At 41.8% G+C, this 26,839-nt stretch overlaps 1 protein-coding gene and 1 long non-coding RNA gene across 21 annotated transcripts in view, besides 5 other annotated features; both read left to right on the forward strand.

The window, feature by feature from the left end:
• The window catches only part of SPECC1 (sperm antigen with calponin homology and coiled-coil domains 1), a 309,668-nt gene that overhangs the window by 33,091 nt on the left and 249,738 nt on the right, over positions 1-26,839 (forward strand). For 3 of the 20 annotated variants that reach the window (NM_001386083.2, NM_001386084.1, XM_047437061.1), the window contains one exon: positions 15,228-15,368. The exons of 16 other annotated variants lie outside the window; for them this stretch is intronic. Coding sequence is in view for 3 of the 4 variants with exons in the window: in NM_001386084.1 (NP_001373013.1) it covers positions 15,366-15,368 (3 nt within the window). In the remaining variant the exon portion in view is untranslated. Of the gene's footprint in view, positions 1-15,226; positions 15,369-26,839 lie in introns of those variants that run through there. One more of the 20 variants, XM_047437062.1, reaches the window with a different exon arrangement.
• Positions 11,207-11,501: an enhancer, noted in NCBI's record as "tiled region #5861; K562 Activating DNase matched - State 24:Quies". NCBI's record gives its function as "activates a minimal TATA promoter and a strong SV40 promoter by Sharpr-MPRA in K562 cells {active_cell/tissue: K562}" and the evidence as "EXISTENCE:reporter gene assay evidence [ECO:0000049][PMID:27701403]".
• Positions 12,849-14,380, forward strand: LOC100131943 (uncharacterized). The gene has a single exon (XR_001753087.3). It is a non-coding gene; the product is annotated as an uncharacterized LOC100131943 (long non-coding RNA).
• Positions 17,607-17,686: an enhancer, noted in NCBI's record as "active region_11865". NCBI's record gives its function as "activates an Ori minimal core promoter by ATAC-STARR-seq in GM12878 lymphoblastoid cells {active_cell/tissue: GM12878}" and the evidence as "EXISTENCE:reporter gene assay evidence [ECO:0000049][PMID:35858748]".
• Positions 21,547-21,841: a silencer, noted in NCBI's record as "tiled region #535; K562 Repressive non-DNase unmatched - State 23:Low". NCBI's record gives its function as "represses a minimal TATA promoter and a strong SV40 promoter by Sharpr-MPRA in K562 cells {active_cell/tissue: K562}" and the evidence as "EXISTENCE:reporter gene assay evidence [ECO:0000049][PMID:27701403]".
• Positions 21,558-21,607: an enhancer, noted in NCBI's record as "active region_11866". NCBI's record gives its function as "activates an Ori minimal core promoter by ATAC-STARR-seq in GM12878 lymphoblastoid cells {active_cell/tissue: GM12878}" and the evidence as "EXISTENCE:reporter gene assay evidence [ECO:0000049][PMID:35858748]".
• Positions 22,068-22,137: an enhancer, noted in NCBI's record as "active region_11867". NCBI's record gives its function as "activates an Ori minimal core promoter by ATAC-STARR-seq in GM12878 lymphoblastoid cells {active_cell/tissue: GM12878}" and the evidence as "EXISTENCE:reporter gene assay evidence [ECO:0000049][PMID:35858748]".

Here is a 26,839-nt window from a genome sequence, read left to right on the forward strand (position 1 = left end):
AGGGCCTCATCACTCCTGGGTGGGAGTGGAAGTCCAGGTTCCCCTGACACTGCTGGCGGGTGAGGGATGGGCTCCTTACTACTGCCATGCAGGGATAAAAGTCGCAGTCCTTACTCAGCCTTGGTGGGGGTGTTGGGTACCTTGGTACGTCCTCACAAGACTGGAAGTCTAGGCTCCCTGCTCAGTTATTGCTGGTAAATGGGCAGTTACTGTCTAAATGTGTTCCATCTCATTAGACTGTCTCCTTCCTGGTCCTTTGGCTAGAGAGGGCAGGCTTTTCTTGGGGCTTTTCAATCTGTGCCCCTTGGTGTTTTGAAGTTGCCTGCTGCTTCAGCTCCAAGTCTGAGATAATGAAGCAAAAAGAAGACCCAGTGAACCCATCACTGGGTTGTTCTGTGGGCCTCAAGGCACCTGGATAGTCTGCCTCCTCTTCCCCTTCCAGAACCTTCTTATATTTGTTTTATATCTAGTGTTGAGGGTTTTTATTACCACTTACTGGGAAGAACAGGGAAAAGTATGTCTGCTCTGTCCCTGGAGCTCAAGTCCACAACTTGCTTTTCGTTTGTTTTTAAATAATTAGTTTTGTTTTTAAATGAAACTGAGTTTTCTTTGGAGAGGCCAAGCAAGTTTCTTTGGAGAGGCCAAGCAAGTTGTCTGGTGGAGCGTCTCATGGTCAGAAGCTGTCCAGTTCTTCCCTTGTGATTAGCTTCAAACAGTTTTGGCGAGAAGCTGTGTGGGCGATGCTGTGTAGCTCCCACATCACAAGGAGGCACATAGTGTTGTGGGGCCTGGCTGGGGGTCACAGGAAGCTTGATCACATCTTCCTTCCTGTATCTAATAAATTATCTGTGGTGTGAAACTCTGAGATCATGTGAGCATCCTCTTCCCAAGCAGCCTTTTACTCAGTGGTTTTAGCATGTCTAGGTGAATATATTAAGGTTTACAAAATGATAATTTTTCTAATTCTCTCATTTCCTTTACATTTATTAGCTGGTATTCTTCCATGAAGAAGAGCTTTATCCAAAGCCACATCCTTTTGTTCTCTTTTTAGTACCAATATGTATTTTAATTCATGTTTTATAATTCATTACTGTCATGTTTTTCTTGAAATTGTTCCACGCGGGGCAAAGTGAGCTCCTTCTGGTTCACTCTTAGGTCCATTTAACATGACTCTGTTAATCTTTGGGCAGTTCCTTGATTTCTGGGCAACATGGGATGTCCCAGACTCACCATTTTCATTTCATAGTCCACACCTAGAATCAGCTATTTCCCCAAGGAGCCCTGCTTCCTTTTAGTAAGGAATGGTATTTAGAAATGCAAATAAATTTCCAAGGGAGAAGAGTTTTCTAAGGGAAGATAAAGTATTGAATTATAGTAGTTACTCGTAGTCACAACTGCTACTGTATTCTTGGTGACTTAGGCCCTCGTTTGAAGTTAGGGAGGTAGAGCTTCATGTGACAGTGATTTGTGTGCCTGTGTCTCCTCTATCTGGCTGACTTTCTTGGGAGCCAGGAGAGTATCTTTTCAATTTTTATATTCACAGTATTTAGCACTGTTTCTGGAACAGAGGAGGATTTAATAACTATTTGGACTTAAATTGTGCTAAACAGACTCCTAAGCTGTGCATCATAGAATCCAAGAATTTTTCTAATGTTCTGCCTGTGTGGAGAAGAGTAAGGATCTTCTCCACACAGTGGAGAACATTTCTCACAGTGGAAATGTTCATAGGCCCTGGGCAGATTATTCAGTGTTTCAGAACTTGTTTCTCTTGCTGAATGGGAAGCATTTTATTGGCTTCAGCATGCTAAAAAAAAGGCTATAACAAGATCTGAGGCTGTTCTTACGAGGTAGTGGTAAAGTATGGGTATGGGATTCAGTTTGAACATTTAGAGAAGGTGACTTTGTAATCTGTATATAGCTCACCCTGGAGGTGAATGGTACTGGTTTTCAGCCTCTACTTGGGAGATGTGTGTTTCTTCTTTTGCTGACTCTGCTACTATATAGTTTTATGACCTTTAAGTCAGTCAGTTGCTCAATTTCTTTTCCTTATTTTCATCTGGAAAAGAGCGTGATGGTGTTTTGAATTAAGATATAATAAGAAAAACATATAAAACCCTTGGATATGTAGCAATAAAATGAAAGAAGATGTATTATAAGCACAGAACTTGGCCATTATGAGTAGCAACAAAGGAAGCCTAGTGTCAGGTCCTAGGGTTTGTTTTTATTTGAAGGAGCTGTATGTGGCATTTTAATAAGGGTTCCAAATGAAAGGGTAGTTTCAGGCTGAGTCTAGCTTTGAGACTATAATGATAATGGGACTGTAAAGTTATATTAAAGTGGGTTTAGGCAGAAGGCACATGAAAAGTACATTTATTTATAACCGCATTTTGAGTGAAGGGATAGAACCTAAAAGGAAAGACTAAAATATTCAACATGGTATTTATCAAGTAAAGGGTGTGCTCACGCACATGCGTGCATGTGTGCTGTGTGTGTTTATGATGAATAAGAACTCTTTTATTCCATCACCATTTGTTTAAACATGAAGTTTAAAGAAATGCTTTATTTCCTGAATTTTCTTTTTCCAAAAAGTAATTCTTGCTTGGGGTAAAAATTACAAGCAGTATAGATATACAACTTAGTAAAACATCTCAATATTCTGCTGATAGTTTTGTTTCTGTTCTTTCAGATGTTTTCTGTGCACACACTAGATTTTTTTTTCCAGAAATTAGCTCATACTGACTATCATAAGCCCATCCTGCTGCTGCTTGAGTTTGTTTTCACGTAACACACAGCTTTTTATGTCCATCTGTGGACATCCATATCACTCTTTTTGATGGTTGAATGATGGGTACATACCCTCATGTACCCAGTATCCTATTGAGACATATGGATTATTTCTTGTTTTTTGCTATTATAAACAATGCTGCAGTAAATACCATTTTGTGTGTGTATCTGCTGTCTCATGTACTTTGGATTGATATCTAAGAGTGGAATTACTGAAACAAAAGTTGTGGATATTTATGTTTTGCCAGTTGTTCTAAAGAGTTGGTTAATTTGCAGGGCTGAGGATTCCTCATCTCAGATGACATAAGGTTCTTGTTATACTCTCTAAGTGCCCTGAGTTTCTCTCTCACATATGGTGGCTGTAATCAGTGGGCATTACAGGTGCCTTTGAGATGGTGTGACCCTTCCAGGGACATCTGTATCCCACAGAATGTCTAAGTTGGTACATCCTAGCTCTCAGCACGTTCCTCCTACTGAGCCCAGACTTGGCAGGGTTGGCCAGGTGTGTGCTTATAGTTTGTGGTTTGAGACTGTGGCAGTTTTTCCTGCTTTATCTGAGATGATGCTTTTCTACCCTGTTTATCAGTAGTGTTTTTTGGGCTGGGGGAGGTCACAGGTGAGGTGATGCAAAATAACTCCTACTCTTGTTTTCAACTGGAAACTAATTTATATCTTATTTTGTTGTATCTGGCTTTTCCTCCCCCTCTGTTAATTGGAAGATATGCTTATCTTTCTCAGTTTATCGACTTGAGAAAGAAATCTTTTGGTTATACCTTTCTAAAAAAAAAAAAAACCATTAGCATAGTAATATTACTTCACACTTCCTGTACCTTAATCTCCAGTTTTTGTGACGCTTTGAGAATTCTTTTTTAAAAATTTAAGTTTTAATTTTTTTAGAGACAGTTTCTTGCCGTGTTGCCTAGGCTGAGTCTTGAACTCTGGTCTCAAGTGATCCTTCCACCTCAGCCTCCTGAGTAGCTGGGATTGCAGATTTGAGCCACAGTGCCTGGCAGAGTTTTTGTTATTATTATCAAATTAATATTATTTTTACATTATTAATTTTTTCTTTCTAGGCTTCTTAAAATTATATCTAATTTTCTATCCATAGTTAACCCAGACCATGAGATTTAATTCTATTTAGATTTAATTCTGTGCCTAACTGGAACTGGTACTACTGCTAGTTCATTCATTGATAACATTGAATACTCTGAACTATGCCCTGTTCTATGTCCTAGGGATAAAGAAATGAATAAATAGACAGAAATCCCTGCCCCTCTGGAGTTTATGTACTAGAGGGGGTGGCAAACAATGTAATAAATGAGTAAGTCTTAGAATACGTTAGAAGAGAACAAGTGCTAAATTGTAAGAATAAAAGTGGAATAGGGTGAGTGAGGTCCATGGGGTCAAGGGGAGTATGTAGAATTTAAATAGGGTAGTCAGGGAGGGCCCCATTGAGATGCTGACATTTGAGCAATGACCTAGAGTAGGTAAGGGAGTTAACTCACTGCAGGTGGAGGAGGCGGCCAGAGCCAAGACTCAAGGAGTCGCCTTCCTGATGTACAGGAGGGGCAGTGAGGAGGCCAGGGCTGCTAGGGTATGCAGGAGACACGTCACAAGGATCCGGAGGGCACGTGGGGTGGGGGGTGGGAAGGGCTTTGTAGACCAGTGCGCACTGGAGGGCTCTGACTTGGGTGTTGATGTGGTCACTCTGCTATGCTGAGAGCAGACTCCAGGGGACAAGACTGGGAGGAGGGAAAGGTGCTGACTATTGCAGGAAAGCCGGGCGAGAGATGTTGGTAGATGGGACCAGACTGATTTGAAGCTATGAAGTTCCCATTAATGAGCACATTAAGTACATTTAACTTTCAGTGGGCTGGATTAGGACTACATTTTTCTTAAGGATTCTTGAGTATGAGAATGCTTGTGTTCTTTCATGTTGTAAATGCTTGTGTTCTTTCATGTCTTTCATGGCTTTTGCAGCCTTTAAATAATGCGTGACATTCTAACTTGGTAAAGATGTGTTGGGTCACTTTCTCTCCCTTCTGGCTCAGTAGGCAGCATTCTTTTGTCTTCAGACTCCAGTGTTCTGGAGAAGACTGCAGATGGTCTGCCTTTTTCCGCATTATGGGTCACCCACTTCTTTCTCTGTGTTGGTAGAATCACCAGCCTTGCTAGATGTGTCTTGTGCTGGTTGGACTCTACTGATTTTTCTTGGCATATGCTAAACCCTTTCAAGCTATAGATTCAGTTACTCAATTTCAGGAAAGTTTTCCGGTGTTATATCTTAAATTTTCTTTTCCTGTGCCATTTGTTTTGTTCTGTTCAGAATTAGCAGTTGTGTGTCTGTTGGATCTTTATCTCTCGTATCTAACTTTTTTTTTTGAGATGGAGTCTCACTCTGTCACCCAGGCTGGAGTGCAGTGGCGTGATCTCGGCTCACTGCAAGCTCCGTCTCCCAGGTTCATGCCATTCTCCTGCCTCAGTCTCCCGAGTAGTTGGGACTACAGGTGCCTGCCACCACGCCTGGCTAATTTTTTGTATTTTTAGTAGAGATGGGGTTTCACCGTGTTAGCCAGGATGGTCTCGATCTCCTGACCCTGTGGTCCCCCCGCCTCAGCCTCTAACATCTTTTTAATCACTTTTATGGATTTCCTATATTCCATTTCCCCAAATGAATGTCCGCTTTCACTGACTTCTTCAGCAATTCCACTTCACTTCTTACCCTTCTTCACGTAATGTTCATCAGATAATGGTGTTAGTGCTTTTCTCCATTGGTGTCCTTGACTCATCCGTTACCTTCCTTCAGTAAGGAGCAGGGCCCACAGGGAAGGATATTCCTTGCTTTAACCTCTCACTAAGCTGAGATAAATTTGAATACGGCTCAAGATCTAGAGAAATGAGTCTTTTTTTTTTTTTTTGAGACAGAGTCTTGCTCTGTCACCCAGGCTGGAGTGCAGTGGCGTGATCTCGGCTCACTGCAAGCTCCGCTTCCTGGGTTCACGCCATTCTCCTGCCTCAGCTTCCCAAGTAGCTGGGACTACAGGCACCTGCCACCACGCCCGGCTAATTTTTTGTATTTTTAGTAGAGACTGGGTTTCACTGTGTTAGCCAGTATGGTCTCAATCTCCTGACCTCGTGATCTGTCCGCCTCGGCCTCCCAAAGTGCTGGGATTACAGGTGTGAGCCACTGCGCCCAGCCGAGAAGTGAGTCTTGATTCTTGTCATCTTCCCTCGATTTTGTTCAGCAAATTCCTGTCTCAGAAATAGCCTTTGTGTTTGTTGCTCAGGGTTGAGGCCCTTCTCTACTTTCATTATAGGTTGAATTTCCTTCTCTGTTTTGACTTTAATAGAAGGGGAGAGTAGATATTTTTTCTTTTGTAAGAATTCCCAGGGCCAGGCGCGGTGGCTCACGCCTGTAATCCCAGCACTTTGGAGCCTGAGGTGGGTGGATTGCTTGAGCCTAGGAGTTTGACATTAGCCTGGGCAACATAGTGAGACCCTGTATATACAAAAATTAGCATGATGGCACGTGCCTGTAGTCCCAGCTACTCAGGAGGCTGAGGTGGGAGGATTGCTTGAACCCAGGAGGTCGAGGCTGCAGTCAGCTGAGATCATACCATGGCATTCCAGCCTGGATGACAGAGTGAGACCCTGTCTCAGAAAAGAAAAAAAAAAATTCCCAGACATATCGCTTAAAAATTATCTTTTGTGAAAAATAATATATTACAGTATATAAAATTCAACATGTTTAACGGGGAAGGAGGGAAAAGAAGATTATCTTCTGCCCCTGTCCCTTAGCTCCCAGTTCCCAGCCCCAGGAAGCACAACCATATAGAACACATTCCTAGAGTGGAATTGCTTTGTCAAAGGATATATGCACTTGTACATTTGATAGACGCTGCCAGATTGCTTTCCATAGAAGCCATCAGTATATATATGCTATCAGCAAAAAATGAGAGTGCCAGTCTCCTCACATTCTCACCAACATGATGATGTTTGAAGTTTTTCAAATTTTTGCCATTCTAATAGGTAAAATAGATTTGAAAGTTTTATTTTGCATTTCCTGTTAATACAGGTGGTTGAGGAGCCAGGTGCGGTGGGGCACACCTGTAGTCCTGGTACTATCATTTGAGCCCAGGAGTTTGAGCCTAACCTGGGCAACATCGTGAGACCCTGTCTCTCAAAAAATAAATAAGTAAAAGTCAGTCTGAGCATCTTATGTGCCGAAGAGCCATTTGTATTCTCTGTGAACTACCTGTTCATTACCTGTCACATTTTTATTTTGGGTTAGTGGTGGTTTTTTTGTTGGGTTTATATAGGTACTCTTTATGTGTAGGAAAATTAACTCTGTCTGGATATGAGTCAAGTTTTGTTTTCCCAGTTCATTCAGCTATGATTATTTAGCTGTGTTTGTGCTATGTTTTAGGCATGTAGAAAGATTTGGTTTGTATGTAGGTGATTTTCTCTTTTATAACTTCAGGGTTTTTATATTATAGGCATTCCCCATCCTAAGAGTCCGAGGATTCTACGGTGTTTTCTTCTGCTAATTATACTATTTTCATTTTTTTCTTTTCTTTCTTTATTTTTATTTATTTATTAATTTTTTTGAGTTGAAGTTTTGCTCTTGTTGCCCAGGCTGGAGTGCAATATCTCAGCTCACCGCAACCTGTGCCTCCCAGATTAAAGCTATTCTCCTGCCTCAGCCTCCCAAGTAGCTGGGATTACAGGCATGTGCCACCATGCCTGGCTAATTTTGTATTTTTAGTAGAGATGGGGTTTCTCCATGTTGCTCAGGCTGGTCTCGAACTCCCGACCTCAGGTGATCTGCCCACCTTGGCCTCCCAAAGTGCTGGGATTACAGGTGTGAGCCACCGCCCCTGGCCAATTTTTTTCTTTTAAATATTTGGTGCTCCTCACCAACATGGCACATGTATACCTATGTAATAAACCTGCATGTTGTGCACACGTACCCTAGAACTTAAAACTATAATTAAAATAAATAAATATTTGGTGCTCCTTCAGTTACTCCTGGTGTTAGGAGTAAGGTAGGGTGCCCAACTGTGTTTTTCCTGATGCCTATCCTGCTGTCTGAACACCATTTGTTGGTTCCTTTGGAATACTAGATTTATCGTATATTAAATTCCTGTATATGTTTGAACCTAATTCTTGGTCTAGTCCATGTCTGTTTGTCTATTCATGTACCAATATCAAACCTTTTAAAATTTAGGCTTAAAATATTTTTTAAAATGCAAATTCAATAAAATCATTTTGGAGAGAAGTCTTATTGGAATATTTCAGTAGTTCCTTCACAGTAAGATGTTGTAGATCATTCTTCTGAGCACAATCTGCTATTCATTGTTAGGGCATGTGTTTAGTTACCTACTTTGAATTGATTTTGCTGAAAGAAGTAAGGATTCTTGGGTGGTCTTTCTATATTCTCCTACCCTGGCTCCTTGGTAATGTGGAAAATGAATTTTCAGGTAAAATTGTCAGAGGACAGTAGGATGGTTTTTGTTCTGGAGTATATTAACATGAACTGGCCCAACTTAGGCTCACATTTGATAACTTCATGTTAGTAAGCATCCTCCTTTGGTTAAATAAACTGGCTGTGGATATTCTCCAGGGAAAAAGTTACTAGTAACTCTTAGAAAACTAATGCATACATGAGCTGGTAAAGAGGAACTTCTTAAAGCACAATTTTAGAGTTATAGAAGCATATATTTGTTGTTATGATCTTGCAAGTTTGCTAACTGCTTTACTGAAAATAGCGTGCATGGAAAAACATAGCATAGTAGGTCCCAAATAAGCACTTGGTTCTTTCTTTCTTTCTTTCTTTTTCTTTCTTTCTTTCTTTCTTTCTTTCTTTCTTTCTTTCTTTCTTTCTTTCTTTCTTTCTTTCTTTCTTTCCTTCTTTCCTTCTTTCCTTCTTTCCTTCTTTCCTTCTTTCTTTCCTTCTCCTTCAGACAGAGTCTTGCTTTGTTACTCAGGCTGGAGTGCAGTGGTGCAATCTTGGCCCACTGCAACCTCTGCCTCCTGGGTTCAAGCAATTCTCCTGACTCAGCCTCCTGAGTAGCTGGGGTTACAGGGACCTGCCACCATGCCTGGATAATTTCTGTATTTTTAGTAGAGACAGGTTTCACCATGTTGGCCAGGCTGGTCTTGAACTCTTGACCTCAAGTGATCTGCCTGCCTCGGCCTCCCAGAGTGCTAGGATTACAGGTGTGAGCCACTGTGCCCAGCTAGCACTTGGTTATTTCTTTAAAAAATCAAATTTAAATTCTGTCCTGAATTTGTTATATGCTTTCTTTTAAAATGTATGTTTAGGTAAACATCTGTTTTAGGGCTTTTTCTTCCTTTGAATTTTTTTCCTTTATTTGTTCATTCAACAAATATTAATTACTTGCTCTGTGCTAGACAGCGTTTTAGGTACTGATATTCAGCAGACAAGGATCTTGCTTTTATTGAGTTTATAATCTAGTGGGGGAGATCAGCAATAAATAAGTTGTCAGGATGTGATTAGTTTTATGGAGAAAATCAAGTAGGGTGGGGTGAAAGTGACTCACTTTGGGGGCAGCATCCAGTAGCATTAGTTACCTTTTATTAGAAAGGCAGCATGGGAAAATAGAAGCATGGACTTCAGAGTTTGATACGTTCCTGTACAAATCTCAGATTTTCTACATGCAGGTTGTGTGGCCCTGAGCAAATTACCTAACCTCTCTGACCCCCATTTCCCCAACTGTCCAAAGGGGAGAGAAGAATACCTGACTCATAGTGGGTTATTAAGGATTAAATGTGACAACTTCAACAAAAAAACCCTAGAAGAATGTTTGACCTGTAATAGTCACTTTATAAATAGCAGCTAAAATATTATCACTTCATCACTTTATTCATTAAAAGTTTTTAAGAAGTTTCTCCATTATTTCATTAGTTTCAATATCATGTGCCTAGTAAGATGGTAGGTTTTAACAAAAGCACCCTTAAATAGCCATTTGTGCCAAATGTCACCATAGTGACTGCTAAAATGGGGGAACCGCAGGTATTACTGTATTCATTTCCATGAATTGTCATAGTTTAATGTTCATCTACAGTTGGTCATGTTTTGTTGAGGTCCTAACAGAAAAGGAACTACATTTGTATTGAACATTGTATTAGAACAAATTTTAATACCTCTGAAAGGTCATACATCAAAGAATCTAGACCAAAAACCAGAGTTCTAGCTCAGAAACACCAGCACTACCACTGTTTTATCTGTCCCACATTGAGGAATATGACAGACTCTGGTTCAAAGATACCTTAACGCCTTATCCATACTACTAGAGGCCCAGGCTGAGATTCTCCTAGACCACAGGCTGGGAGCAGTGACATCTCCAAGATACCAAGTCTGTCAGGGTCACTGATGGAGATTTCCATAGAGGAGGTTCTCAGGCCTAACTGAAGGCATCACTTCTTAGATACGTGGCCCAATCAAACACTATCCAAGGAAGGAGCATGGACTCTAGAGAGGTTTGGGAACAGGGTAGCAGATATGCCAGAATGCTGAAACCTGGAACAGGCCAGGAAGACAAAACAGCAGTCTGCATGTAGCAAAAAGAGAAGGTAGGAAGGTACAGGTAACAACAAAATGGATTTGAGGTGAGAATCTCAATGTGAGGTCACATCTATATTCCTAACACACACAGTTTGTTACCTATGCGTTTGCCCTAGAGACAGGACCACACTAAATAGCACCCATTCTTTCTTATTTTCCTTATCCCTCAAACAAAGAAGTGTCCCTCTCTTGGCCCCAAGTCAATGGGTAAGGGATTCTGCCAAGACCTTTGTCAACTATCCCCTATCATTTATGTTTTTTACCTCTCCCTGTCTACTGATTTATTCTCCCTCTACCTCAAAACATGCTTATATGGTTCCTTTCTTTAAAAAAGAATTCCACCGAAATTTCCTACTCTGACCTCTAACTCAATAGTTAAAGTTCCTTTCATGGCTCACTTTTCAGGGGGAATCTGACTCCACTTCTTTTACCTTTCAATTCCTCCTTAATTCTGTGATCTTCCTCTATTCTTGCTAAAGTCATGACCATCTATGGGTATGTTCATTGCCTGTTGGACATTTGAATGTCTCAGGCATTTCAAGTTCAGCATTAATTGAACCCCCTATCCACTTCCACAGTGTGATGATTTTTAAATATATCCACAAATTCTTTGACACTTCTTATTTCAAGAGGTGGAGCTTAGTTCCCTTTCTAACTAATGGAATAAGGCAGAAGTGAGAGTGTTAGGAGTAGGTCCATAGTGTTAGGAGTAGGAGTAGGAAGAACACTGTGGCTTCCTCCTTGCTCTCTCTCTCAGATCACTCATGCTGAGAGAAGCCAACTGCCAGATGGGGAGGATGTTCCAGCAATGCTATAGAGAGGCTCACTTGGCAATGAATTGAGATCTCCTGCCAACAACCAGCACTGCCTTGTCAGGCAGGTGAGTGAACTCCTTGGAAGTGGACCCTCCGGCCCCAGTTGAGCCTTCAGATGATGCAACCCCAGCTGACATCTTGATTGCAACCTCTTGAGAAACTCTGAGCCAGAACCAGCCAGCTAAGCCTATCTTAGATTCCTGGCCCACAGAAACTGGGAGATAAGCCTTTGTGTTTTAAGCTGCTAAATGGTTGTCAGTGATTGGCTACACACCAGTATATAACCAATACACACGGCAAACCTTCCGTATTCCCAGTCGTAGGGAAAGCAAGGAAACAACTCCTTCCTCTCCAAGATACAACTGGTGATCAAGTCCTGTTATTTTCATCTAGGTATCTGTTGATTCAGCCTGTTCTGATTTTTCTAGTCACTCTGTCAGTTTATTATTTATCATCTAGACTGTTTCAGTTGCCTCTTAACAAGTTTCTTGCCTCCAGCTTCACTCTCTTTTAATCTATTCCCCATACTGCCATAAAAAATCATTCTAAAATGTGAATTTGAGCATCTTTCTTCTTTGATTGAATTGTCCCCATTGACTAGAGTTAATCAAGCCCAGTCATCTTAAGCAATGCAGGCAAAGCTGTTTGAGGTTTCATCCCACCATGCTTTCCAGCTCCTGTCTCTCCTGCAGCAGGGTGTTCAGCCATCAAAAATAGCCGGTGGGTCCCAGAATCTCCCACGGCTTTTCTTCTTTCTGTGATTTGGTGTGTGCAGTTCTCTCTAGTTTTGGAAGGCTTTCACCAACTGTTTGACGCTTTCTCTATTTTCTGAAAGTTAGGCATTCCTCCTTTCTTCTGCAGTCCCCAGGGGATACCTGTGTAATTGCTGTGATCACATCACTGTCATTGTTTGTCTCTCAATGTCTGTTTTTCAGTTAGACCAAGAATCCCACTAGATGAGGGTCGATGCTCTGTTCATCTCTTTTTTGTTGTTGTTCTTGCGTATCTGATCTTTTAAAATGTTTGATATTCTTTTTCTTTTTTTGGGGGGGGTGGTGTCTTGCTCTGTCATCTGGGCTGGAGTACAGTGGTGCAATCATGGCTCACTGCAGCCTTGACCTCCTGGGCTCAAGCAAGCCTCCCACCTCAGCCTCCCTAGGAGTGCACCTCCACAGCTGGCTAATTTTTGTATTTTCTGTAGAGACAGGGTTTCACCATGTTACCCAGGCTAGTCTCGAACTCCTGGGCTTGATATTCTTTTTTTATTTTACTGTGGTAAGAACACTTAACCACATTTGTGGATCTACTACATTTGTTAATCTACCCTTAACAAATTTTTAAGTGTACAATACATTATTGTTGACTCTAGGTACAGTGTTGTACAGCTGATCTTGAGAGCTTATTCATCTTACTTAACTGCAACGTTATGTTCGTTGATTAGTAACTCCTCGTTTCCCGCCCTGCAGCTCCAGGTAACCTCCATTGTACTCTTTGATTCTATGAATTTGTCTATTTTTGGTATCTCATATAAGTGGAGTCGTGCAGTATTTGTCTTTCTATGACTGCCTTATTTCATTAGCAAAATGTCCTCAAGATTCATCCATGCTGTTGCATGTTATAGAATTTCCTTTTTTTTTTTTAGAGGCTGAATAGTACTCCATGGTATGTATATACCACATATTGTCTACCCCTTCATCCACTGATGGGCATTTAGTTGTTTCCACATCTTGGTTTTACTCTTTGAGGAACCTGCATACTCTTTTCCACAGCAGCTGCTCCATTTTACATTCTCATAAACAGTGCACAAAAGTTCCAGTTTCTCTACATCCTCACCAATACTTGCTGTCTTTTGATTTTTTGGTAATAGTCATCCTGACAATGTGCGTTCTGTTCATTTTAAGTCTCTAGCAACTAATGGGATATTTGAACAGGGTGTCTGAAACTTTTAGTCTAGCAGATAGGGAATTTCACATTAGCAGAGTCAGAATATAAAAATGTAACTTTACCTCTCTATACATGATCATAACTTCACTCTCTAGCCATTGTTTTTCACTAAAGGCAGTGAAGAGTCTTTGGGGATGAGGGTTCTGGCCCCGTCACTGATGCTTTCATTGGCCATGAAGGCTTTGCTGGTTGTTGGTGCCATCCATTTCTCTGTGTTCCCTTTTCTCTTTATGTTAGTCCCACTGGGCCCCCTCCGTTCTGACTGTGAGAGTTCTCCAGGCTTGCAGGCTTGTGCTCAGCTGTTTCAGTGCCTCTCTGGAGCATGCACCTTGGGAAGTGCTATGTGGGTCTCAGACCCACCCTCCTGGTGCAGGGGCCTGCTTAGGGCTGAGCCTCTTTAGGAGGACTGCACTCTGGGAAGAACCAATGATGTGTCTGGGATTTCTGTTAGCTAGATCTCTCATAAATTCCAAGTCTTAGTTTGGGATGGAAAGAGGTAGAGGATCTGGACTTTTCAGAGACTTAGTAGCATCTTTAAAAGAAAAATACTTAGTTCTTCCAGTGGAAAGCTGTGGGTTCCAAGAGATATCTGCTGTGCATTTATGGGCCTATTTTAGAGCAGAATACCAAAATATTCACCATAATTTTAAAAATAAATATTAAATAATTAAAAAATTGGTACAGCCTGCCAGGAGCTCAGTGTGCAATGGTGACATCCAGCCTGTGAGGCCACCTGGTGCGGCTTGGGAACCCGCAGAAGCCTGCACTGAAGCCCAGCAAACCCCTCATCCTAGCTAACCGCAGCAAGGACTGGCGTCCGGAGAAGGGCGAGGCCGCTTGTATCATGGAGTGTCAGCTTGCTGGAAGCCGAATGAATTCCGCGATGATATGTGCAGAAAAGAGATCCAGGGCTTTTTCGATTGTGCTTCAAGGGATTAGGAAGCCTAAAAAATGAGATCAATACAGGAGACCCTGGGAGAGTCTGGGAGTTTACCTCCCAATAAATAGAGTAAGTTGTCATAGAGGTTTCCTAAGACACCTCACCTAAGCTTAAAATGGAAAAGCATTTTCAATGATTTCTGGACTATAGCTTCTGACAATTATGCAGAGGCATTTTATAGATGTTTGCATTGCTGTGACCTCTTTGAAGGATAAGATGAGGAAAAACACTTTTTCTAACCTTTGGAATCAATAGTATGGGTAGAAGTTATGTTTTATCTTGAAATAAAATCCTCTGAAGAGAAAAAAATAATTAAAAAATTAATTATACTTGTTTTATATTTATAGGAGAGATCTTATTGTTGGTGATCTTTGATAGTATCTATAGCCCAGGACAAATTTCCAGAGCCCTTCCATTTCTTTCCTTATTCTGTTTCCATTGAAATAGAAAGCCGAAACCAGAATTAGAGGTCATCAGGAATGATGATGAGTGTTTTTGCTCTAACTGATCAATCTGGATATGCATTCAGATTAAATATGGATGTAGAGATTCTAGTGAAATTTTTTTACTGAAGGCCACTTTCAGCATTCTTTCAGCTGCTGAGTTAACAAGCATATCAAACTAAAAAACAGAAAGGTTGGCCGGGTGCGGTGGCTCATGCCTGTAATCCCAGCACTTTGGGAGGCCGAGGCAGGTGGATCACGAGGTCAGGAGATCAAGACCATCCTGGCTAACACGGTGAAACCCCATCTCTACTAAAAATGCAAAAAAGTAGCCGGGCGTGGTGGCGGGCGCCTATAGTCCCAGCTACTCGGGAGGCTGAGGCAGGAGAATGGCGTGAACCCGGGAGGCAGAGCTTGCAGTGAGCCAAGATCACGCCACTGCACTCCAGCCTGGGCAACAGAGTGAGACTCCATCTCAAAACAAACAAACAACAACAACAACAGCAAAAAACAGGAAGGTTAAGTGTTTTTTGTTTGTTTTTGTTTTTGAGACAGGGTCTCTCTCTGTCACTCAGGCTGTGGCGCAGCATGACCACGGCTCACTGCAGTCTTGATCTCCTGGGCTCAAGCAGTCCTCCTACTTCAGCTTCCAGAGTAGCTGGGATTACAAGCATCTGCCACCATGCCTGGTTAATTTTTTTTTTTTTTTGTAGAGACAGAGTTTTGCTATGTTGCTCAGGCTGGTCTTGAGCTCCTGGCCTCAAGCAATCCACCTGCCTTGGCCTCCCAAAGTGCTGAGATTACAGATGTGAGCCACCACACCCAGTCCAAGTGTTTCTATTTAGTTGATAATGGTGAGTAGATTCCTAATCCACTCTTTGATTGCATTTGATTCTGGAAAATGTTTCTTTATATCATTTTGCAGCATTTCAGTGTAGTTTTTAAATATGCCAATCATGTATCAAAAAATATATTTCTTTAATTTGTGAAGAAAACTGTCAACTCTCGGGGAAGTCAAACTCGTGGAGATTTAGCTGCCTACATTGCAGTTTGGTCATATCATCAAGGTATCATAACAGCATTAAAAAATCATGGTATTTTGGTTAAGATTCAGGCTGTTCCAGATAATGATTACTGAAATATACTACTTGAGTGAATCACCTGAGATCACAGAAATGGTCTTTATCAGCCTTATCAAAGTCATGAAGAAACAGTTTTTTCCTCATTTTAAATATTCTTCATTTTAAATATCCTTGCGAGCACCTTTCTCCTTAGTATCACATGTATTTCAGTATGGAAAAGCAGACCCTGGGACTCACTGTCCATACTGCATGTTGAAAAGCCTGATTGTCCATGACTGTAGTGCGACTTAAAATGTTTATCCAGCTGGGTACAGTGGCTCATGCTTGTAATCCCAGCACTTTGGGAGGCCAAGGAAGGAGGATCACTTGAGTCCAGGAGTTTGAGGGAGGATCACTTGAGCCCAGGGTTTGAGACCAGTCTGGGCAACATGGTGAGACCCCCATCTCTATAAAAAATTTAAAAATTAGCTGGGCATGGTGGTGCGTGCCTGTAGTCCCAGCTACTCAGGAAGTTTAGGTGGGAGGATCGCTGGGGCCTGGGTGATTGAGGCTACAGTGAGCTGTGATCATGCCACCGTACTCCAGCCTGGGCAACAAAGTGAGACCGTGTATTTAAAAAAAAGTTTATTCATTTTTTAGCATTGAATGAAGATTAGATTATTTAGATTAGCGGTCCCCAACCTTTTTGGCACCAGGGACTGGTTTTGTGGGAGAATTTTTCCGTGAACTGGGGTGGGGGGATTGTTTTGGAATGATTCAGCCACATTACATTTATTGTTCACTTTATTTCTTTTTTTTTTTTTTTTTTTTTTGAGACAGAGTATCGCTCTGTCGCCCAGGCTGGAGTGCAGTGGCGTGATCTCGGCTTACCTCAAGCTCTGCCTCCCAGGTTCACACCATTCTCCTGCCTCAGCCTCTCGAGTAGCTGGGACTACAGGTGCCCACCACCACACCCGGCTAATTTTTTTTTGAATTTTTAGTAGACGGGGTTTCACCGTTTTAGCCAGGATGGTCTCGATCTCCTGACCTCGTGATCCGCCTGCCTTGGCCTCCCGAAGTGCTGGGATTACAGGTGTGAGCCACCACGCCTGGCCTATTGTGCCTTTATTTCTATTATTATTACATTGTAATATAGAATGAAATAATGATACAACTCACTGTAATATAGAATCAATGGGAGCCCTGAGGTTGTTTTCCTGCAACTAGATGTTCCCATCTCAGGGTGATGGAAGACAGTGACAGATCTTCCGGCATTAGAGTCTCATAAAGAGCGGAAAACCTACATCCCTTGCATGCTCAGTTCACAATAGGGTTCATGGTCCTATGAGAATCTAATGACATCACTGATCTGACGGGAGGTGAAGCCCAGGTGGTAATGCTCGCTTGCCTATTGCTCACCTCCTGCTGTGTGGCCCGGTTCCTAACAGGCTATGAACTGGGGGTTGGGGACCCCTGATTTAGATCATCAACTCTGCTCTGAGGAAAACAGCAGTGTTGTAGACTGGCATGAAGTGCAACTTCTTCTACTCTATGTAGCAACCCCTTTTCTTTCTGGTCCTCCTTCACTTTAGATCCCTGAGACCCTTTTCCACATTGTACCTTGGTCGTTGTATATGAACATCAAACATGAAAGGTGCTAGTGAGATCCCATCTCTATAGAAAATTTAAAAAATTAGCTGGGCATGGTGGGCCTGTAGTCCCAGCTACTTGGGAGGCTAAGGCAGGAGGATCCCTTGAGCCCAGGAGTTTCAGGTTGCAGTGAGCTCTGATCGTGCCACTGCACTCCAGCCTGTGTGACAGAGCAAGGGCCTGTCTCTAAAAACAAAACAAAACAAAGCAAAACAAACATGAGAAGTGCTGATTCATACCTTGCAAAGAGGTTTCATTCGGCAGCAAGTTGAAATTATCTACTGGTTTGTACATGAGCTAGCACTTCCTCTTCCACATGGCATGCCATTGATGTTCCTTGATGTTTAGTGTTATTTGATAGAGGAATTTGCTAACACCTTGTTCTCTTTTCTCTTTGATGAAAATGTTTATCATTAACTTTGGGGCTCTTCTAAAGAATGTTCCATTAGTATGTGTTTGTACCTTTTTTTTTGGCCTCTGAAGAGTGCAGCTTTCAATGACGCCTCTATAGTTGTGGTCTTTTCCTTTTGGTAATGAAGTGCATCAGTTTTGCACTGAGAAATGTTATTTTGCCCTTGAGGAATAACTTGGTTGGTTTACTAAAGAGACCATCAAACTTTGAAAGTGACATGGAAAGCTTATGCGGTTTCTACAACTATTTCAGAAGCTTCATAAATGCTAAAGCGTCTGGGCTGGGCTCAGTGGCTCATGTCTGTAATCCCAATGCTTTGGGAAGCTGAGGCAGGAGGTTTGTTTGAGGCCAGGAGTTCTAGACCAGCCCGGGTAACACAGTGAGACTCCGACTCTACAAAAAATAAAAAAATTTAAAAAGAAACCCACAAAAACAAAAAAACAATAGAGGACTCTGACTTTAGGAGCAAATGAATCCAGTGTCTGATAAATTCCAATTTTTTAATTATTCACCATTGTGCTTTCTATGTGTACTTCCCTTCTTTAACTGCCTGGGTGGTACATCTCTTGACATATAGGATATGTGTCTTTCTGGCTTGCAGTTTAGTTCCAGTCAATAGTGAGCCTCCTAATTGTTCAGAGTTGTATTTATGCCACTCACCATGTGACTTTTATACTTCATCAAATCATTTTGCTCTGTCAATCCTTCTGAACTGATGTGATGGTACAAAATAGAAAAAGATGGAAACTGCTAATTTTAACAGATATAAACATAAACACGTACATAAACACCAGTGCATACATATTACGAAAATATATTGTGTAAAAGCAGTAACTTGTAGGACTAAGATTAACTACTGTGTTAGTAGTGCAAGTATACATTTCAAACTTAATGATTATATAAAGAATGAAACAGGATATCAGTGACCATAATACCTTTAACATTTCAAATTTGTGAAATATATGTGAACAAAATTGTTTCATTTATTTCTTTGTTTCTTTTTGAGACAGAGTCTCACTCTGCCACCCAGGCTGGAGAGCAGTGGCGCGATCTCGGCTCACTGCAACCTCCATCTCCCAGGTTCAAGCAATTCTCCTGCCTCAGCCTCCTGAGTAGCTGGGATTACAGGTGCCCGCCACCACGCCCGGCTAATTTTTGTATTTTTAGTAGAGACAGTGTTTCACCATGTTGGCCAGACTGGCCTGGAACTCCTGACCTCAAGTGACCCACTCACCTCGGCCTCCCAAAGTGCTGGGATTACAGGTATGAGCCACCATACTTGGCCCATTTGTTTCTTTTGAAATAGGAATTCCCAGTGTAGCTTTTGTTGAACTTCCATGGGCCTCTACATGTCCTCCATCTGCAGGTTGTATGTACATTGGGCTGTAGCCATTTGGTGGCAAGGACCATGGTAGAGGCCAGTCTGAGAGTGCACCTGGTAGATCCTTAAAGATGCAACCTTTGGGAACCTTGAACCTTTGATTGCTATAAACAAGTAAATCCCCTAGTTGATCATCACTCAGGAATCTTGGCTAAGCAAGGCCTATGAGGAAATTGATTTCTTGACAGATACATTTGGAAGGTCTTTAAGTTATTCTCCTTACCAATCACATAAATTTTTTAATGTTTTCTATAACTTACTGACTTCAGTCCCATTTTTCTTTCATTTATTCAACAAATATGTATTAAGGGCTTGCTGTGTGCTAGGCACTCTGAAAGACAAGACAGCATTTTTGCCCTCTTGGAACTAATGCTTTGTATATATTATTTTCTCCTGTATCATATCCAGTTTACACTTTGCTACTTACTTTTCTATTTTTCCTTTTTCTTACCTATTATGTTTCAGATCCATAAACTATTTTGTCTATGTCTTTATTTCAAATTATTTTGTGGCCGGGCACGGTGGCTCACGTCTGTAATCCCAGCAGTTTGGGAGGCCGAGGCGGGTGGATTAGGAGATCAAGACCATCCTGGCTAGCACGGTGAAACCCCGTCTCTGCTAAAAAAATACAAAAAATTAGCCAGGCATGGCGGTGGGCACCTGTAGTCCCAGCTACTCGAGAGGCTGAGGCAGGAGAATGGCGTGAACCTGGGAGGCAGAGCTTGAGGTAAGCCGAGATCACGCCACTGCACTCCAGCCTGGGTGACAGAGCAAGACTCTGTCGTCAAAAAAAAAAAAAAAAAAATTTTGTTCTCCAGTCTAAACATACCGTAACAGTCGTAGCATTAACCTTTGTGCATTAAAACGCTTAACATTTCCATCCAAAAAATTTCAGGTATTTTTATTTTAAAATTAAACAGGTTCTCCCTCTTTCATCCAGGCTGAAGTGCAGTGGTGTGATCACGGCTCACCACAGCCTTGAACTCCTGTGCTCACGTGATCCTCCCACCTCAGCCTCCCAAGTAGTTGGGACTACAGGCATGTGCCACTGTGCCTGGCTAATTTTTAAAAACTTTTTTTAGAGATGGGGCCTTGCTATGATGCCCAGGCTAGTTTCAAACTCCTGAGCTCAAGTGATCCTCCTGCCTCAGCTTCCCAAAGTGCTTCCCCACTGGCATGAGCCACCATACCAGGTCAAAATTTCACGTATAACACAAGAAATACATTTTTTTTTTTTTTGAGATGTAGTCTCAATCTGTCACCCAGGCTGGAGTGCACTGGTGGGATCTCGGCTCACTGCAACCTCTGCCACCTGGGTTCAAGTGAGTCTCCTGCCTCAGCCTCCCGAGTAGCAAGGATTACAGGTGCACGCTACCATCTCGGCTAATTTTTGTATTTTTAGTGGAGACAGGGTTTCGTCATGTTGGCCAGGCTGGTCTCGAACTCCTGACCTCAAGTGATCTGCCCACCACAGCCTCCTAAAGTGCTGGAATTACAGGCATAAGCCACCGTGCCCAGCCAAGAAACGCATTCTTATAAAAAGCCAAATATATAGATATAGAGTAAATATGAAGTCACTCCTTATAATTCCCATCCCAACTGCCTCTCAAGAGCCATGAAAGAGACTATTTTCTATATTTTTGCTAATAGTCTTATCTCTTCTTAAAATGTTAGTCTGCAAGATGGGTTTAAAAATACCTCATTGCTTTAGCTCATATTGGTTGCTATTAGATGGGTTAAGCATCTTTTCTTATGTTTAGCAGTCATTTGGATTTTTGTGAATTGCCTTTTCATATCCTTTGCCTTTTTTCTGTTGGACTGTTTGTTTCTTCTTGAGTTAATTTTGGTATTCTATGTTTTCCTAGAAAATGATCTGCTTTGCCTAGTTTACAAATCCTTATATGTAATTACGTTCTCTTTCTTGTTCCTAATTTGGGTACCTTCCTTTTTTCTTTCTTGATTAGATTTGCCAGAGGTTCTATCTTGTTAGTCCTTTCAAAGCATCAGCTTTTCATTTTATTAATCTTCAAGGTCATTTAAAAAATGTTTTCTGTTTAATTAATTGCCGTTTTTATCTTTATTCATTCTTCATCCTGCTTTCTGTGGACTCAGAGAAGACCCGTTCATGTAGAGGAAGGTGGGAACAAAGGTTCAAAGATAGTTGTCGAGGGTCAGGAAAACAATTGTTGGCATCATTCTCCTTCACCTCCTCACTCCCAACTGCCATCACAAACACAGGCAGTTCAGAATCCATCAAGAAATGAGTCAGGAATCAGGCAGACTGAATCAGACTATCAGCTTTGTTAATAAGGCTGAAGTAGAGAGTAGTGCTTGACCTAAGATCACAGTCAGGCTAGTAACCCTTCCCTCTGAGTTAAACTTAGCCAACAGAATAAGGCATTTAGAATAAACGCTTTGAGAGGTTTGAAAAGAAGACAGTTGGAAATGAATAAAACAATCACTTAGAGGTGCTGAGGGCCAAATGGCCTCAGGGCAGTTCGGTTTTTCAGTTCTGTTTGGAGACCTAGATCAGGAACAAAGAAAAATGAGTTGGCAGTCTCTGGCTGGTGGCTGAGTAAGCAGGGCCAGAGTTGGCAGAAGGAGGTGATCTTGGGGTTTCAGACTAGTCAGTGAGGCAAGTGAGACCAGCAGGGCATGGAAAAAACCACGAAGAGACAGGAGTCGGGGCTTCAGCTTCTTGTGAGCATGCAAACCCAGCTCGGAGGGAGTGTGATGCTGGGACAGCCAAAAGAGGAGCAGCTGGGGGCCAGAGAAGGGCATTGCACATCCAGAACCCTGATGGCAGGAGAGTCAGAGAACGGGCACACCACCAAGTGTGATGAAACTTGTGGGGGATTGACGATGAGTCATTCTTCAGACTCTCTGGGACTCTTGTTCTTTCCCCAAATTAGTTTAACATCTGCTTTGGAATCAAAAGGGTAACTGCTTTTCTCTTTCTGGCTAATTAAACAAATGCAAATGTATGCATAGCCTTATTGTATCCTCACACAGCCTGGGAGGGAAGCACAGTGTGGGTGGCAGGTACATGACGCTAGAAGCAGAGGGTGTTTAGTGCTGGGGTGGGAGGACAGCAGGAGGATCTGTCCCAGCGCCAGACGTCTTCCATCCCTACGGGACCTCTCAAGGTCATGCTACATGACCTTCGGCATATGAATTCACCTGGCACCACAGTATTGTTCTTAAAACTGAAAATGTACCAGCGTATTGTAACTTGTAAGCCCACAAACTTCTTGTTTCTAGCCATGTACTTACAGAAAGCCCTTGCCTTTATGTTTTCACAGGGAGGGCATGATGAACCTTGTCTTATAGCTCATGAGAAGGCCAACTTCACTAACCACTCCTTGCCGGGTGTGGTATGTTTCCCTCTGTAATTACTTCTCCCTGTGTACTTTCTTATGGTAAAATGTCATGCTTCAGAACAAAATTAAAAAGTCATCTAAAGAGATGGTTTGGTTATCATGGAAGTCAAGTTCCTCTTAGTAGAAATGAGCAGTTATAGTCAGACTTTATAGATACTAGAAAGAAGAGCAATGTATTTCTAAACTACATGCTTGTGTCAAATTTCAGATTTTGTTTAACAATTTGTATATTAATCATGATCTAACCCACCTGTTTTGGAAGAACCCTCTCAAACTGGGTTTTTCCTCTGCTCTCACACCACAACAACAGTCATCAACACGGAAAAAGACTTCTGTGACCAAATGTATGGGGGTTTCTCTATAGAAGTAGTGGACACCAGCTAGGTGTTCTCCAGTTCAACTCTGACGCTGTCTACCTGGAGAGAGCATCAGATCCCACAGGGCAAAACTCAGGCCCCAAGGCTGCCTCCTTCTCCAGTCACCAGTCTCAAGTCTGGGCCTCTGGAACTTCTGACCAACTGGCTTCAAGTTGGGGTTCCCATGACTCCTCTGGGTTCAACTAATTTGCTGGAGCAGCTCACAAAACTCAGGGCAACACTAACTTACATTGATCAGTTTATTATAAAGGATATCGCAAAGGATACAGATGAAGAGAAGTGTAGGACAAAGGATGGGGAAGGGCATAGAGCTTCCACGCCTTCCCTGGGTGCACTACCCTCCAGAAACTTCCAGGTGTTCAGCTGTCCAGACGCTCTCTGAACTGTGACCTTTTGGGTTTTTATGGAGGCTTCATTGCATAGGCACCACAACCATGTAGAAATGTGATTGGACAAAAAGTACATGATCTAAACCTAGCATGCCTGTCTCTTCAAGACTTTTCTTGGTCTCTCTGTGTAACATTCCTTCCTTTAGGGTATAGTTAGGACTCTCTCTAGTTTGAGGGACTCCTGACCCATAATTAGAGAAGGGTCCTGTCTTGGGCACGTGAAAGGACAGGAGAAGTTCAGAGAGAGAGAGAGATTCTGTTTCCTGAGGCCTAAAGTGCCCTGAAATTATAAGAAGGACTATAGGCATCAGGAGCCAGGAACCGGTTCTAATGCCCATAGTCCTTGTTATAATTTGTTATCTATATCTATCTATCTATATGTATATCTATATCTGTATCTATATCTATCTATCAGTCAATCATAACAACATACCATCAGATAAACAATTTCTATCCATACCCATTTTCTGATAATAAAAACTGGATCTGTTGCTGGCTAGGTGAAACTCGGAAACTCATGAAGCTTTTTACCTTTTTTACAAATGGGAGTGTGCCCTTTCATCCTGAATCATTAGAGTCTCCTAGGTACCCCTCTCTGAGGACTCTTATTCTAACAGCCTTTGCAAAAATTAGCCAAACATCTGTTTGAAACTCACTCAGAGTCATTTTCATCTTTGCCTTTCTCCTAGTTATTTTTAGGGTTGATAAATTTGTTTTCCAAGAGCAAACAGAGCATTTTTAAGCTTTGATTTTTGGCTAGCATTTAGGAATTCTTGTTCTGTGCAGAGCTGGCTGGATGCCCACTTAGGAACTTAGCCTGCACGGAGATTCCTTCAGTGGAAGAGCATTGGTCTGGAGTCATCCATCCGGCTCCTGGAGCTTGGCTACCCTGATACTTCCCGGTCTCCCTGCAAATGAACACCTCAGCATGCCATTATAGTTGGTCATCTTACTCTGTTTTTACAGAATCCAGGAGGAGAGTTCCTGCAAAGGATGTCTTGGGCAGGGTTTAATTATTTCTACGAATAAGAAAGCTTTCCTCAGGTGGAATTGTATTTACTTTCTGCAATATAAGCCATGAATTTACAAATAGAGTCTGATACTGTCAGGATACATAATTGTTGTTATGCTTAAGTAGTTTTTTTTTTCTTGAGATAGAGTTTTGCCCAGGCTGGAATGCAGTGGCACAGTCACTGCTCACTGTACCTTCAACCTCCTGGGCTCAAGCAGTTCTCCCATCTCAGCCTCCCAAGTAGCTGGGTCTATAGGTGCCATACCACCACACCTGGCTAATCAAATTTTTTTTTTTTTTTTTTTTGGTAGAGATAAGGGCTTTTATGTTGCCCAGGCGGGTCTTGAACTCTTGGATGCAAGTAATCTTCCCGCCTTGGCCTGCCAAAGTGCTGAGATTCTAGGTGTGAGCCACTATGCCCAGCCTTAAATAGATTTTAAAAAATTACAAAACTGTTACATGTTCATAGTAGACAGTGTAGAAAAATGTAAAAAGCATAAAGAAAATTAAAATTTCCTATCATTCCACCACCTAGATAACCATTCTTTCTTTTTTCTTTTTTTTGGAGATGTAGATTCCAATGATGTCATCTCACTGAAACCTCCGCCTCCCAGGTTCAAGTGATCCTCCTGCCTCAGCCTCCCAAGTAGCTGGGACTACAGGTGCACACCACCACGCCCAGCTGATTTTTGTATTTAGTAGAGACAGGATTTCACCATGTTAGCCAGACTGGTCTTGAACTCCTGACCTAAGGTGATCCATGCGCCTCGGCCTCCCAAAGTGCTGGGATTTCAGGCGTGAACTACCACGCCCAACCTAACCATTCTTAATATATAGATTTTTTTTTCAGTCTTTTTATATGCCTAAATGTAAATATGAGCTCCTACTGCATACACTTTACAATTTGTATTTTCCACCAAAATATATTGTCGTCATTGTTCCATATCACTGGATATTTTGTAGTATCACTTTCTCTATTGAGATGCCATAAATTCACATATATTTACATTTATATAAATGTTTACATATTTATAATATTTTTAACATTTATAGTATATATCATATTTCTATAGAGATAACATGTATTCACTTATATTCACTGCCATAAAATTCATACTTTTAAAAGTGAACAATATGGTGATTTGTTTGTATCTTCACAAAGTTATACAATAGTTGGCACTGTCAAATTCTAGAACATTACCCCCCCGCCCCGAAAACCCAGGGCAGTTACCACCCTTCCATCGCTCCTTCCCTCATCCTGTGGCAGCCACTCAAGTACTTTCTGTTTGTGTGAATTCCCCTCTTCTGGACATTGCGTAGAAGTGGAATTATACAATAGATGGTCTTCTGTGTGTGGCTTCTCTTTTTTTTTTGAGACAGGTTCTTGCTCTGTCACCCAGGCTGGAGTGCAGTGCTGCAATCTCAGCTCACTGCAACCTCTGCCATCCTCCCACCTCAGCCTCCCAAGTAGCTGGGACCACAGATGTACACCACCACCCCTGGTTTGTATTTTTGGTAGAGACAGGATTTCGCCATGTTGGCCCAGGCTGGTTTCAAACTTCTGGGCTCAAGTGACCTGCCTGCTTCAGCCTCCCAAAGTGCTGGGATTATAGGTATGAGCTACCATGCCCAGCCTGTGTGGCTCCTTTTGTTCAACATAAGGTTTTCAGGGTTCATCCATGTATCGGTACATTATTCCTTTTTACTGATGGATAATATTTCACTGTGTGGATGTACACTTTATATTTATCCATTCAACAGCTGATGGCCACTGGGTTTTTTCTACTTTATGGCTACTGTGATTAGTGCTATTGTGAACATTTGTCTGCAGGTTCTTGTTTGAACTTCTGTTTTCAATTCTTTTGGATATATACCAAGGACTGGAGTTACTGGGTCATAATGGTAACTGGGTGTAACTTTTTGAGGGACTCCCCAAACTGTTTTTCACAGTGGCTGTACTTTTTCACATTTACGTAGGCAATGTATGAGGGTTCCAGTGTCACCACATCCTCACCAGCACTTGTTAATGTCTGTTCTTTTGGCTAGAGCCATCCCAGTCGATGTGGAGTGGCATCTCCCAGTGGCTTTGGTTTGCATAATGCCTAATGATTGATTTTTCTAATGTGGAGCTTCTTTTCACGTGCTTGTTGGCCACTTGTATTGTATAGTCTATTTGGAGAAATACCTGTTCAGATCCTTTACCCACTTTTCAGTTGGGTTATTTGTCTTTTTATTATTGAGTTTTCAGAGATCTTTACACATTCTAGATACTAGACACTTATCATATATAGGATTTGCAAATGATTTCTCCCATTCTGTGGGTTATCTTTTCATTTTCTTTTTTTTAACTTATTTTAGGTTCAGGGGTACATGTGAAGGTTTATCACATAGGTAAACTCATGTCACAGGGGTTTGTTATACAGATTATTTCATCACCCAGGAAGTAAGCCCAGTACCCAACAGTTACCTTTTCTGCTCCCTCCTCCAAGCCTCCACCCTCAAGTGTCTGTTGTTTCCTCCTTTGTGTTTATGAGTTCTCATCATTTAGCTCTCGCTAATAAGTGAGAACATGCAGTATTCGGTTTTCTGTTCCTGCATTAGCTGGAGGCTGAGGATAATGACCTCCAGCTCCATCCATGTCCCTATAAAGGACGTGATCTTGT

Source organism: Homo sapiens, chromosome 17, assembly GCF_000001405.40.
Source record: "Homo sapiens chromosome 17, GRCh38.p14 Primary Assembly".
Lineage (NCBI taxonomy): Eukaryota > Metazoa > Chordata > Mammalia > Primates > Hominidae > Homo > Homo sapiens.